The sequence below is a fragment of the Homo sapiens genome, chromosome 7 (assembly GCF_000001405.40).
Source record: "Homo sapiens chromosome 7, GRCh38.p14 Primary Assembly".
Classification (NCBI taxonomy): Eukaryota; Metazoa; Chordata; class Mammalia; order Primates; family Hominidae; genus Homo; species Homo sapiens.
Genome location: NC_000007.14, coordinates 35,647,557 through 35,660,258, shown reverse-complemented (window position 1 = coordinate 35,660,258; position 12,702 = coordinate 35,647,557). Strand labels below are relative to the sequence as shown.

Genomic DNA, 12,702 nt, shown 5'->3' with positions numbered 1-12,702 from the left:
AAATGTGGCACATATACACCATGGAATACTATGCCGCCATAAAAAAGGATACGTTGATGTCCTTCATAGGGACATGGATGAAGCTGGAAACCATCATTCTGAGCAAACTATCGCAAGGACAGAAAACAAAACACCGTATGTTCTCACTCATAGGTGGGAACTGAACAATGAGAACCCATGGACACAGGGTGGGGAACATCACACACTGGGGCCTGTTGTGGGGTTGGGGGAGTGGGGAGGGATAGCTTAGGAGATATACCTAATGTAGATGACGAGTTAATGGGTGCAGCAGACCAACATGGCACATGTATACATATGTAACCTGCATGTTGTGAACATGTACCCTAGAACTTAAAGTAAAATAAAATAAAATAAAGGAATAAAAAAAATAAAGATGAAATAGAACAGGAAAAAAGAAAAAAAAGAAAAATCTCAAATATTTTGCCAAAAGTGAGTGTTAAAGTACTGAGCAACAAAGATATTTGAGCTTCACCTAGGGAATATATTACTAGATGAATTATATTTTATTTTTAATAATGAAGGCAGTATAGCTTAATGATTATACAGATTCTGGAGCCAGCCTGCCTGGGTTTGAATCTTGTGAATCTGGGTTTGAATTTTGTGACTAGTTTGGGCAAGTCTCTTCTCTACTGTGCTTCCATTTTCTCATTATTTGGGGGATAATAGAACTCTTACAGGATTTCTATGTGGTTTAAAAGAGTTAGTGTCCATAAAGTGATTAAAACAGTAACTGGTACATAGTGATATATTAGCAATTACTTATAAATTCTTTCATCCTTATAAGTGAATGTTGTACATTCAGCAAACATTTATAAGCATCTCTGTGTATGGTACACTAAAACAGTCAAATGAATGCTTGTGTTAGGTGCTAGAAAATAAGTGTTTATATTTGGAGAGAGTATTTGTTGATTTATAAAGCAATTGATGTGACGGTTCAGTAATTAGGTTATTCAGTTCAACAATGAACATGATTTGACTTATTCTCATAGTTGTCATTTTTTCTGATGAAGGCTTTATACTTTAAGTAAATTTTATTTAACATAGTCTTAGCCTTAAAATGTGCAAGAGCAGTAATTTAGTGACCTTGAACAATTTGCTATCAAAATAAAACAGCTCTGCTCTTTGTTTTCAAATTTATGTATAGCTTATAATTAGCTAGTCTGCATGTGTTGTTTACCACCATGTAGGTTAGCGTTCTCAATATTTAGTGAGTGTATTAAAACTGAAAATTGCTCATTTCTGGTCCCTACTCCCTGAGGTTTTGAATCACTAGTTTTGAGATGGTGTTCAGAAGTCTGCCAATCTAACAATACCCTGGGAACCTCACTTTGGGAAATCCAAATGTAGTTGATTATTTGCCTACCTAGCTCCTGAGAAAACATGAGAAGGACAAAGCAATACATTACCTACAACACTGGCTGTTCATTTACAAAGTTCCATTTGTAAGTCTTGACTGTTTTTGGACTCAGTCTGTTGTGTGGTTTATTTACTCTAACAATTACTGGCTGGTTTATAAAACACCCAGTTTTGTACATTCAGTTTTTCCTGCTGAAATAGTAACAGCCTTGTTTTATAACAAATCTGAAAAGCTACTTATTGTACCCATCTATATTGTCTGTTTTGTTATAATTTATTTTTAAAATTGTTATTTGCACATATTTATGGAGTTCATGTGATGATCATTACACATGCATAGAATGTGTAATGATCAAGTCAGGGTATTTACGGTATCCATCACCTAGAGTATTTATCATTTCTGTGTGTTGGTAAGATTTCAAGTCTGCCCTTGTAGCTGTTTTGAAATTTACAGCATTGTTGCTAACTATAGTCAGCCTACTCTGCTGTATTTATACCCATTAACCAACTTTTCATCTTCCCTTCATCACCTCACCCCCACCACTCCCAGCACCCTTCCTAGCCCCTTGTGTCTATCAATCTACTCTCTACCTCCATGAGAGGAACTTACTTAGCTTCCATATATGAGTGAGAATATGAAATATGTGTTTTTTCTGGCCTGGCTTATTTCACATAACATAATGACCTCCAGTGCCATTTGTGTTGCTGCAAATGACAGGATTTCATCCTCTTTTACGGTGAAATAGTGTTCTATTGTCTATATATAGCACATTTTCTTATTTGCCCATTAATGAACACTTAGATTGATTCCATCTTTGCTATTCTGAACAGTGCTGCAGTAAACATGGGAGTGCAGGTATCTTTGACATACTTTTCCTTTGGATAAATAGCCAGCTAGTAGTGGGATTGCTGGATCATAGGGTAGTTTTATGTGTAGTGGTTTTTTTCTTTTTTTTTTTTGAGACAGAGTCTCGCTGTGTCTCCCAGGCTGGAGTGCAGTGGCGCGATCTCGGCTCACTGCAAGCTCCACCTCCCAGGTTCCTGCCATTCACCTCCTGCCTCAGCCTCCCTAGTAGCAGGGACTACAGGCGCCCGCCACAGCACCTGGCTAATTTTTTTTTTTTTTTGTATTTTTTAGTAGAGACGGGGTTTCACAGTGTTAGCCAGGATGGTCTCGATCTCCTGACCTTGTGATCCGCCCTCCTCGGCCTCCCAAAGTGCTGGGATTACAGGCTCGTGAGCCACCGCGCCCGGCCTTTTTTTTTTTTTTTTTTTTTTGAGAGAAGGTCTTGCTCTGTTGCCCAGGCTGGAGTGCAGCAGCATGATCATACTCCTGGGCTCAAGCGATTCTCCCACCTCGGCCTCCCAAAGTACTGGAATTACACGTATGAGCTACCACACCCAAACTGTGTTTAGTTTTTTGAGAAATCTCCATATTGTTTTCCATAGTGGCTGTACTAATTTACATTCCTACCAACAGTGTATAAGAGGTCCCTTTTCTCCCCATCCTAGCCAGTATCTATTGTTTTTTTGTCTTTTTAGTAATAGCCATTCTAACAGGGGTAAAATTAAGTTTCATTGTGGTTTTGATTTGCATTTCCCTACTGAGTCATGTTGAGCATTTTTTTCATATACCTGTTTGCCATTGTATGTCTTCCTTGAGAAATAGCTATTCATGTCCTTTGCTTACTTTTTAATGGGATTATTTGTTTTATTAACTGTAAGAAGAGTTATATGAGTTCTTTGTATATTCTACATATTAGTTCCTTGTCAGCTGAATAGTTTGCAGGTATTTTCTCCCATTCAGCAGTTGCCTCTTCACTCTGTTGATTGCTTCATTTGCTATGCTTTTTAGTTTAATATAGTCTCATTTGTCTATTTTTGTTTTTGTTGTCTGTGTTCTAGATGTCTTAGCCGTAAAATTTTTGATGGGACCTATATCCTGAAGTGTTTCCCCTGTTTTCTTTTAGTAGTTTTATATTTCAGGTCTTCAAAGTTTAAGTCTTTAATCTGTCTTGAGTTGATTTTTTTATATGGTGAGAGAAAGGGGTTCAGTTTTATTCTTCTGCATATGGCTAGCCAGTTTTTCCAGCACCATTTATCGAAGGGAGGGTGTTCTTTCCCCAGTGTATGTTCTTGACACCTTTGTTGAAAATCAGTTGGCTTTTTGAGAAACATTCAGAAAAAAGAAAAAAGGAAAATCAGTTAGTTGTAACTACCTGGATTTATTTCTGTCTTCTCTGTTATGTTCCATTGGTCTTCTGTGTCTATTTTTATACCAATACCATGCTATTTTGGTTACTATAGCCTTGTAATATATTTTCAAGTCAAATTGTGTGATGCCTCCAGCTTTGTTCTTTTGTTCAGGATTACTTTCACTGTTCAGGCTCTTTTTTTGTTCTATATGAATTTTAGGATTTTTTTTCTAATTCTGTAAAAAATGACATTGGTATTTTCATTGAATTTATAGATTGCTTTGGGTAATATGGTAATTTTAATGATATGAGCTCTTCTGATTCATGAGCATAGGGTGTCTTTCCAGTTGTTTATATCCTCTTCAATTTCTTTCATTAGTGTTTTATAGTTTTCCTTATAGAGGTCTTTAACCTACTTGGTTAAATTTATTCCTAAGTATTTTATTGTATTTTTTTGTAGCTATTGTAAGGGGGATTGTCTTCTTGATGTATTTATTTATTTCTTTTTTTAATTTTATTTTTTTGAAATGAAGTTTCACTCTTGTTGCCCAGTCTGGAGTGCAGTGGCACAATCTCAGCTTACTGCAACCTCTGTCTCTCTGGTTCAAGAGATTCTCCTGCCTCAGCCTCCCAAGTAAGTGGGATTACAGGTGTCTGCCATGATGCCCGGCTAATTTTTTGTATTTTTAGTAGAGGCAGAGTTTCACCATTATGGCCAGGCTGGTCTCAAACTCCTGACCTCAGGTGATCTGCCCACCTCGGCCTCCCAAAGTGCTGGGATTACAGGCGTGAGCCACCACACTCGGCTCGATTTCTTTCTTAGCTAGTTTGTTTTTGGTGTGTAAAAATGTTACTGATTTTTGTATTTTGACTTTGTATCCTGTAACTTTCCAAATCTAAAAGTTTATTGGTGGAGTCTTTATCTACAAAGAGGGATGGTTTGACTTCCTCTTTTCCAATTTGGCTGCCTTTTCTTACTTTCTCTTGCTTGATGGCTCTGGCTAGGACTCCCAGTACTGTGTTGAAAAAGACTGGTGAAAGTGGGGATCCTTGTCTTTTTCCAGCTCTTAGAGGAAAGGCTTTCAGATTTACTTACTCAGTATGATGTTAGCTGTGGGTTTGTTATATATGGTCTTTTTTATGTTGAGATATGTTCCGTCTATGCCTAGTTTGTTGAGAGCTTTTATTATGAAGGGATGTTGAGATGATCATATGGTTTTTGTCCTTCATTCTGTTGATGTGATGTATCATGTTTATTGATTTGCATCTATTGAATCATTCTTGCATCCCTGGGATAAATCCCATTTGATGATGATGTATTCTCTTTTTGATGTGCTGTTGGATTTGGTTTGCTGTATTTTGTTGAGGATTTTTGTGTCTGTGTTCATCGTTGACCTGTAGTTTTTTGTTGTTTTTGTTGTGTCCTTCTCTGGTTTTAGTATCAGGTTAATGCCTTGTAGAATTCCCTCCTCTTCAATGTTTTGGAGTAGTTTGAGGAGAATTGGTGTTAATTCTTCTTTATAAGATTGGTCAAGGCTGGGCACAGTGGCTCATGCGTGTAATCCCAGCACATTGGGAGGCTGAGGTGGGTGGATTGCTTGAGGCCAGAAGTTTTGAGACCAGCCTGGCCAACATTGTGAAACCCTGTCTCTACTAATGCAAAAATTAGCTGGGCGTCGTGGTGCATGCCTATAATCCCAGCTACTCTGGAGGCTGAGGCAGGAGCATCGCTTGAACCCAGGAGGTGGATGTTGCAGTGAGCTGAGATTGCGCCACTGCACTTCAGCCTGGGCAACAGAGTGAGACTCTATCTCAAATAAATAAATAAATAAAACCCACAAAAATTAGTTGGATGTAGTGGTGTATGCCTGTAATCCCAGCTGTTCAGGTAGCTGAAGCATGAGAATCACTTGGACCCAGAAGGTGGAGGTTGCAGTCAGCCAAGATTGCGCCACTGCACTCCAGCCTGGGCAACAGAGCATGATTCTGTCTTTAAAAAAAAAAAAAAAAAAAGTTTTGGTCAAATTTGGCAGCGAAGCCATCCAATCCTGGACTTTTCTTTGTTGGGAGATTTTTTTTTTTTTTTTTTTTAATTACTGATTCAATCTCATTACTCATTATTGGTCTGTTCAGGTTTTCTGTTTCTTCCTGATTCAATCTTGGCAGGCTGTGTGTATCTAAGAATTTACCCATTTTCTCTAGGTTTTCTAATGTATTAGTGTGTAGTTGTTCATAATAGCTTGGTTTTCTGATGTATTAGTGTGTAGTTGTTCATAATATCTTGATGATTTCTCTTTTATATTTCTGTGGTATCAGTTGTAAGGTTTCCTTTTTCATATCTGACTTTATTTATATGGGTCTTTTTTTTTCTTTGTTACCTAGATAGTGGTTTATTGATTTTATCTTTTCAAAAAGCCAAGTTTTTATTTTGTTGATCTTTTGTATTGTGTTTTTTCAGTCTATCCTGATCTTTATTATTTCTTTCCCTCTACTAATTTTGGGTTAGGTGGTTCTTGCTTTTCTAGTTCTTGGGGGTGTATTTTTGGATTGTTTATTTAAAATCTTCCTACTTTTTTGATGTGAGCATTTATTGCTATAAACATCTCTCTTAGCACCACTTTTGTTGTATTCCATAGGTTTTGGTATATTGTTTTTTGACTTTCATTTGTTTCGAGAACTTTTTGTTGTTGTTTTAGAGACAGTCTCACTCTGTTGACCAGGCTGGAGTGTGGTGTGTGATCCTAGCTCACTGCAGAACTCCTGGGCTGAAACAGTCCTTCTGCCTCAGCCTCCTGAGTAGCTGGGATTACAGGCACATACCACTACACACCACAAACATTTTTTATCTCCTCCTTAATTTCTTCCTTGGCCCAATGGTCATTTAGGAGCATGTTGTTTAATTTCCATGTATTTTGTACAGTTTCCAAAGTTTCTCTTGTTACTGATTTCTAGTGTTATTCCGTTGTGGTCATAAAAGATACTTGATATGATTTTGATTTTTAAAAATTTTTTGAGACTTGTTTTGTGGCCTAACATACAGTCTATTCTGGAGAATGGTCCATGGGCTGATGAGAAGAATGTGTATTCTATACCTGTTGGATGAAATGTTCTGTAAATGTCTGTTATGTCCATTTGGTCTAAAGTGCAGTTTGAATCCAGTGTTTCTCTAGATGATCTGTGTAATGCTGAGAGTTGGGTGTTGATGTCCCTAGCACTTATTGTATTGGATTCTGTCCCTCCCTTTAGGTCTGATCATGTTTTCTTGATAGAGCTGAGTGGTCTGGTGTTGGATTCGTTTATGTTTAGAATTGTTATATCTTTTTGTTGAATTGATCCCTTTATCATTATATAATGACCTTCTTTGTTGTTACTGTTTTTAAATTAAAGTCTGTTTTATCTGTTATAAGGATAGATGTTCTTGTTTGCTTTTGATTTTTGTTCACTTGGAATATCTTTTTCCATCCCTTACTTTCAGTCTGTGCATTTACAGTTGAGATGAATTTCTTGTAGGCAGCATGTGGTTGGATCATTTAAAAAAATTCTTTCAGCCCCTCTGTATCTTTTAAGTGATAAGTTTAATTCATTTGTATTCAGGATTATTATTGATATGACAGGGCTTATTCCTGTCATTTTAGTAATTGATTTCTGGTTTTTGTATAGCATTTCTTCCTTTCTTTCTCTCATGTTGTTTTTCATTGTGGTTGGTGGTTTTCTGTAGTGGTGACATATAAATTCTTTCTCTTTTTTATTTGTGTATTTGCTCTACCAGTGGGTTTTATATTTTGATGTGTTTCCTTCCGGGTATAGGGCTCCCTTAATTATTTCTTGGAGGGCCGGCCTAGTGGTAATGGGTTCCTTCAGCTTTTTCTTGTCTGGGAAAGACTTTATTTCTCCTTCATTTATGAAGGATAACTTTGCTGGGTATAGTATCCTTGGCAGAAACGTTCCTTCCTTTCCTTCCTTCTCTCCCTTCTCTCCCTTCCCTTCCCCTCCCTCCCTCTCTTCCCTCCCTTCCTCCCTTTCTCCCACCCTCTCCTTCCTTTTCTTCCTTTCCTTCCTTTCTTTCCTTCCTGCCTTTCTTTCCTTTTTTCTTTTCTTTTTCTCTTTCTTTCTTCACTTCAAATATATCTGCCTATTCTCTCCTGGCCTGTAAGGTTTCTGCTGAGAAATCTGCTGATAGTCTGCTGGGGGTTCTAAGCATTAAGTGACTGGATGCTTTTCTCTTGCTGTTTTTAGAATTCTCTCTTTGCCTTTGACAGTTTGACTATAATGTGTTGTGGAGAAGACCTTTTTGAATTGTATCTATTTGAGGATTGTTGGGCGAGGTGTCAGAGCCCTGGCACCAGGAAGTGGTCAACTTGCAGGTTGGTAAAAAGAATTTACTGACAACAGTACAGGTTTGAAAAAGGAAACTTTATTAGAAAGGAAGAACGCTGCAAAACGGTGCAGTGGGGTGCCTCAGTGAGAGGACTGAGCGCACCGTGGTGGATTTTCCTTAGGAGCATTTATAGGCTTTAAGACAGTAGCTTAGGGTTGTAAAATTAGTTTCAGTATGGCATTCCAGAAATGTATAGAAATTTTAGTTACTTATAAAAATTGAAAGAGGCCTGGAATCATATGCTGACTTTAGATACTAGGGAGGTTTGATTACCTCTAAATTCCCCAGATAAGGAGTTTTGCCTCTGGATGACCTGTTTGATGGTCACCAGGTAGTCTTTGCTGCCTTCTAAATTGCTCAGATAAGAAGTTTTTATCTCTAAGCCTGTTCAGTGGTCACCAGGTGATTTTCACTCTCCTCAGGTGCTTTTTAATGATATCTGTGTCTTTGGTAAATTTCTCATTTGTATCCTGAATTGTTTTTCAGATTTTTTTTTATATTGTTTATCTGAATTCTCTTGCTTCTTTAATATCATTATTTTGAATTAGTTTTCTGGATTTCACAATTTTTTTTTTCACTGGAATCCATTGCTGGAGAATTACGTCCTTTTGGAAGTGTCATATTTCCTTGCTTTTTCATGTTTCTTCTATCCTTATGTTGATATCTGTGCATGTGGTATAACAGTCCTTCTTCAGTTTTTTGCATTTGCTTTTGTAGTGGGGGCACTTTTTCCTAAAGATGGGTCTATGGTGGTGTTCGGGTAGGCCACTTTGGCTTTGATTCTGTATGTATACCATAGTGTAGTCTCTGTATGAATTTTGTCAGGAACAGTGTCAGTAGTGTTTGATTTTCTCAGTGTCTTAGGGTGTGGTTTTTAGTGGAGGCTGTGGTGAAGTTTTGCTGGGGACAGGGGTGTCAGGTGGGCCAATCTTTAGGTCCCAGCGATGGCAGTGGTAGGCTGAGTATGCCTGTCCTTAGGCCCCAGTGTGGCATACGCTGGCACCAGTGTGAGATGGTCCAGGTGGGCCAATTCTTGGGGGGCCTCCAGTCAGCTTGTTTGGATGCCATCAGTGACAGTGGTGGGCTGGGCAGTTTGGCATGTCATCGGGCCCCTAGGCAGTGGATATGCCATGGATTATGGCAGTAATATTGGTGGGACAAACCTCTGGCTCCCAAGCAGTCTGTGGTGGTGTTGGTGATGACTGCAATGGGTTGGGTGGGCCAGTTGCCAAGCCCACAGGTAGTGCATGCACATGGGTGTCTGCTGTGGTAGTAGTGGCAGATTGGGTCCTCAGGCCTCTGGGAGGAGTACTCAGGTGCCAACAGTTGTGGATGGTGCAATCCACAGGCCCCTGGATGGCATGCTCAGCCACTGGAGGTGGGTGGAACTGGGCCAGGCTGGCTTGATCTCAGGCTCCCTGGTGGTTTGTGCAGCTGCTGGTTCTGGTAGGCGAGGATGGCGTGATCCCCAGACTTCCAGTACAGTGCTCGGGAGATGCACTGCAGCCTGTTACTGGGAGGGCTGGGTTGCTTTCAATGACAACAGTCGTAAATTGGTGGGGGGGTACACTTTGGTCTCAGATGGCAGCTGCAAGCTGGTAGCCTGTCCTCAGGGTGCTTGTAAATGCTCAGTAGCACCGTTCACAGGTGTGGGGTTGCTGACAATGTCTTGCACTGTGGCCCAAGATACATCAGTTATCCCTCATGCACAGGGGATCTCAGTGAAGCTCCAGGGATGTGAGGTACCGGAGTTCTTGGGCCCCAGGGCAGGATGCAGCCCGCTGGGGGTTGGACTCTGAAAATGGTGCCTTGCTGTAGCTACTTAGGAATTAGGAGGTGTGTGGGACCCATTGTGAACTCCTCTTGAGCAGTGCCTTCATGTGGTCTCCTGTTAGTCTCGGGGCCCGTGTGCATTAAGGGTCTCTCTTGTGGCTAGGATTACAGGAGTCTGCAGTGGGAATGTAGACTGCTGGGGGTCCCCACTTAACCTTTCCCTGCACTGGGGAGCCTTTCCAGGCTCCCAGCCCATCCAGTGCAGCAGGCTGCCTTGCTTCCCTCTCCTTCTTTGCCGTAGGTGTTTCCTGTCACTTCTCTATTGAATTCCAGCATTCTCCCTTAGGTGATCTACTGGAAGTGTGATCATCTACTTAGTATTTTTGTTCTTTTTTTGTGGAGGAGGTGAGTATCAGATGCCTCTAGTTAGCCGTCATGAAGCCTCTCTTAGAATCCCTATTGTCTGATTTTTTAAAAGTAAAAATTTCTTGTAGCCCAGCACTCAGAAATAACCATATAAACCAAAAATAAAATTCTCAAGTCCCCCAACCATCTGAGTGGACCTCTCCTCTTAGCCCGGAAACTCCATAGTGAACCTGAAAAACTGGTTCAGGCCATGATGGGAAGGGAGGGTGGGACATCCCTCATTATACCCTCTTCCCTTTTGGAATTCAGGAAAAGCCGACCAGCATTTAACATCAACACAGACCTTAAGTCTGATAAGAAATACTTACAATCTATTCTCTCTGAAGGCTGCTACCTGGAGCTTTATCTATATGATAAAACTTTGGTCTCTACAACCCCTTATCATAACTCAGACATTCCTTTCTATTGATAATAATTCACCCAATTGCCAATAATATTTTTTAAAAATCTGCCTATAACCTGGAAGCCCCTGCTTTGAGTTATCCTGCCTTTCTGGACCAAACCAATATATATTTCACATCTTTTTGATGTCCCATGTCTCCCTAAAATGTATAAAACTAGGGTATCCCCTGACCACCTTGGGCACATGTTCTCAGGATCTCCTGAGGGCTGTGTCACAGACCATCGGTCACTCGTATTTGGCTCAGAATAAATCTCTTCAAATATTTTACACCGTTTCACACTTTTTGTTGACAACGATTACTAACGTTTTAGTAACTATCCTTCTAAACACTTCTGTGTGTGCTTTTAAAATAGAAACATCACACTGTTTGTTTTGTAAACTTAAAAAAAAACATAATACAGCTTGGACATATTTCCAGGTCAAATATAAATCCACAACTTTTTTTTTTTTTTTTCAGAGATGGAGTCTCGCTCTGTCGCCCAGGCTGGAGTGCAGTGGCGCAATCTCAGCTCACTGCAAGCTCTGCCTCCCAGGTTCACGCCATTCTCCTGCCTTAGCCTCCCAAGTAGCTGGGACTACAGGCGCCTGCCACCACGCCTGGCTAATTTTTTGTATTTTTAGTAGAGACGGGGTTTCACCATGTTAGTCAGGATGGTCTTGATCTCCTGACCTTGTGATCTGCCTGCCTGGGCCTCCCAAAGTGCTGGGATTACAGGCGTGAGCCACTGCTCCCGGCCATAAATCCACAACATTTAAAGTCTGTATGATTTTTCTTTATGTAGGTTTACTAATTTGTTCACACATATATTGATGGAGAGCGTATTAGTTAGTTTTGCTGCATGCTAACCTCAAAATATCAGTGGCTTACAATACATTTTATTTTTCTTGTTCACAGATCTTTTAGTCACTGGTGCAGCTCTTTCTTGGATTGTAGATTGAGTTCAGGGCCGTTTCAAGTTTCTCATTCTCTTTAGATCAGTAATTTCGTGGCACACATTCTTCTCATGGCAAATGACAGGAAGACAAGAGGGCAAGCTAATGACTGAGCACATTTGAAGTCTTCTATCTGTCACATTTACTAATACTACATTGGCCAAAGCAATCACATGGCCACTCTCAACAGGTCAGCAGCATTGAGAGGGGGAAGTATTGCAAAATTACATCAGGTGCTGTGCTGGTAAATGCTTAACAGCTGGCTTTGGTGGGGGTGAGGGAAATAAAGCCCTAGATTTGTAGCATTTGCTGATTTCTCTGGTGTAAATACTCCCATCATGGCTCAGCAGTCTACTGTTATGAGCCAGGTAAGCCAGCGTAAACCAGCTTTGCCACTGAGGGGCACATAGTATGCATGTATAATCCTGTTATAGAAGACTGAAGAACTGGGGCGATCTTTTACCATAAATATTTGGTCAGTTTTATTCCCGTGAAATATTACCATAATCAGCATTCTTAAATATGTATGCTTACATATTAGCAGTTATTATTTTAGGATAAATTGTGACAAAGGGAATTCCTGAATCAAAAGTGTTCTTAAGATTTTTGAGGCCCTTAAAGACTTGCAAAATTGCAGTAAAGTTGTACCAGTTTACTTTCTCGGTAATGTTGAAGATCCTGAGTCTCTTTACTTGTACAGATATGTACTTGCTAACGTGATAAGTTGGAATGTCCTTGTTTTAATCTGAGACATGATAAAGAGGCATTCTTTATGTTTTGTGAGTTGCTTATTTGTTGGTGTGGTGGTTATCTTTAAAAATTCATTTACCACACTTTATCCAAAAGGATATTAATAACTAATACTTATTGAGCATTAGCAGAAGTTAGGCATTGTATTAAGCACCTATATGTGCCTTACTTCACTACATTTTATAAAAACTCTGGTCTCAGCACTGTTATCTGCCACTTATGGATGAGGAGAATGAGACTTAAAGGTTATGCAGTTTGCCTAAGTTCACAATAGCAGAACTAGAATTCAAATCCATTTTTAACTTGGAGGCCTATATTCTTAACAGCATTGCCGAAGTGACTATTTTGTCTATCATTTGTTTCACTGTTCTTTCCTAGGTTATCATTCGTATTTTGACTTTGTTCATAATGGCAGTGTCCCACCTCCAACCACAATTCAAAACTTTTTTCTGGTCAGATCTACCCGT

The 12,702-nt window shown here is 39.7% G+C and overlaps 1 protein-coding gene across 5 annotated transcripts in view; it reads left to right on the top strand.

Moving 5' to 3' along the window:
• The window catches only part of HERPUD2 (HERPUD family member 2), a 62,477-nt gene that overhangs the window by 34,877 nt on the left and 14,898 nt on the right, over positions 1-12,702 (top strand). The window lies entirely within an intron of this gene.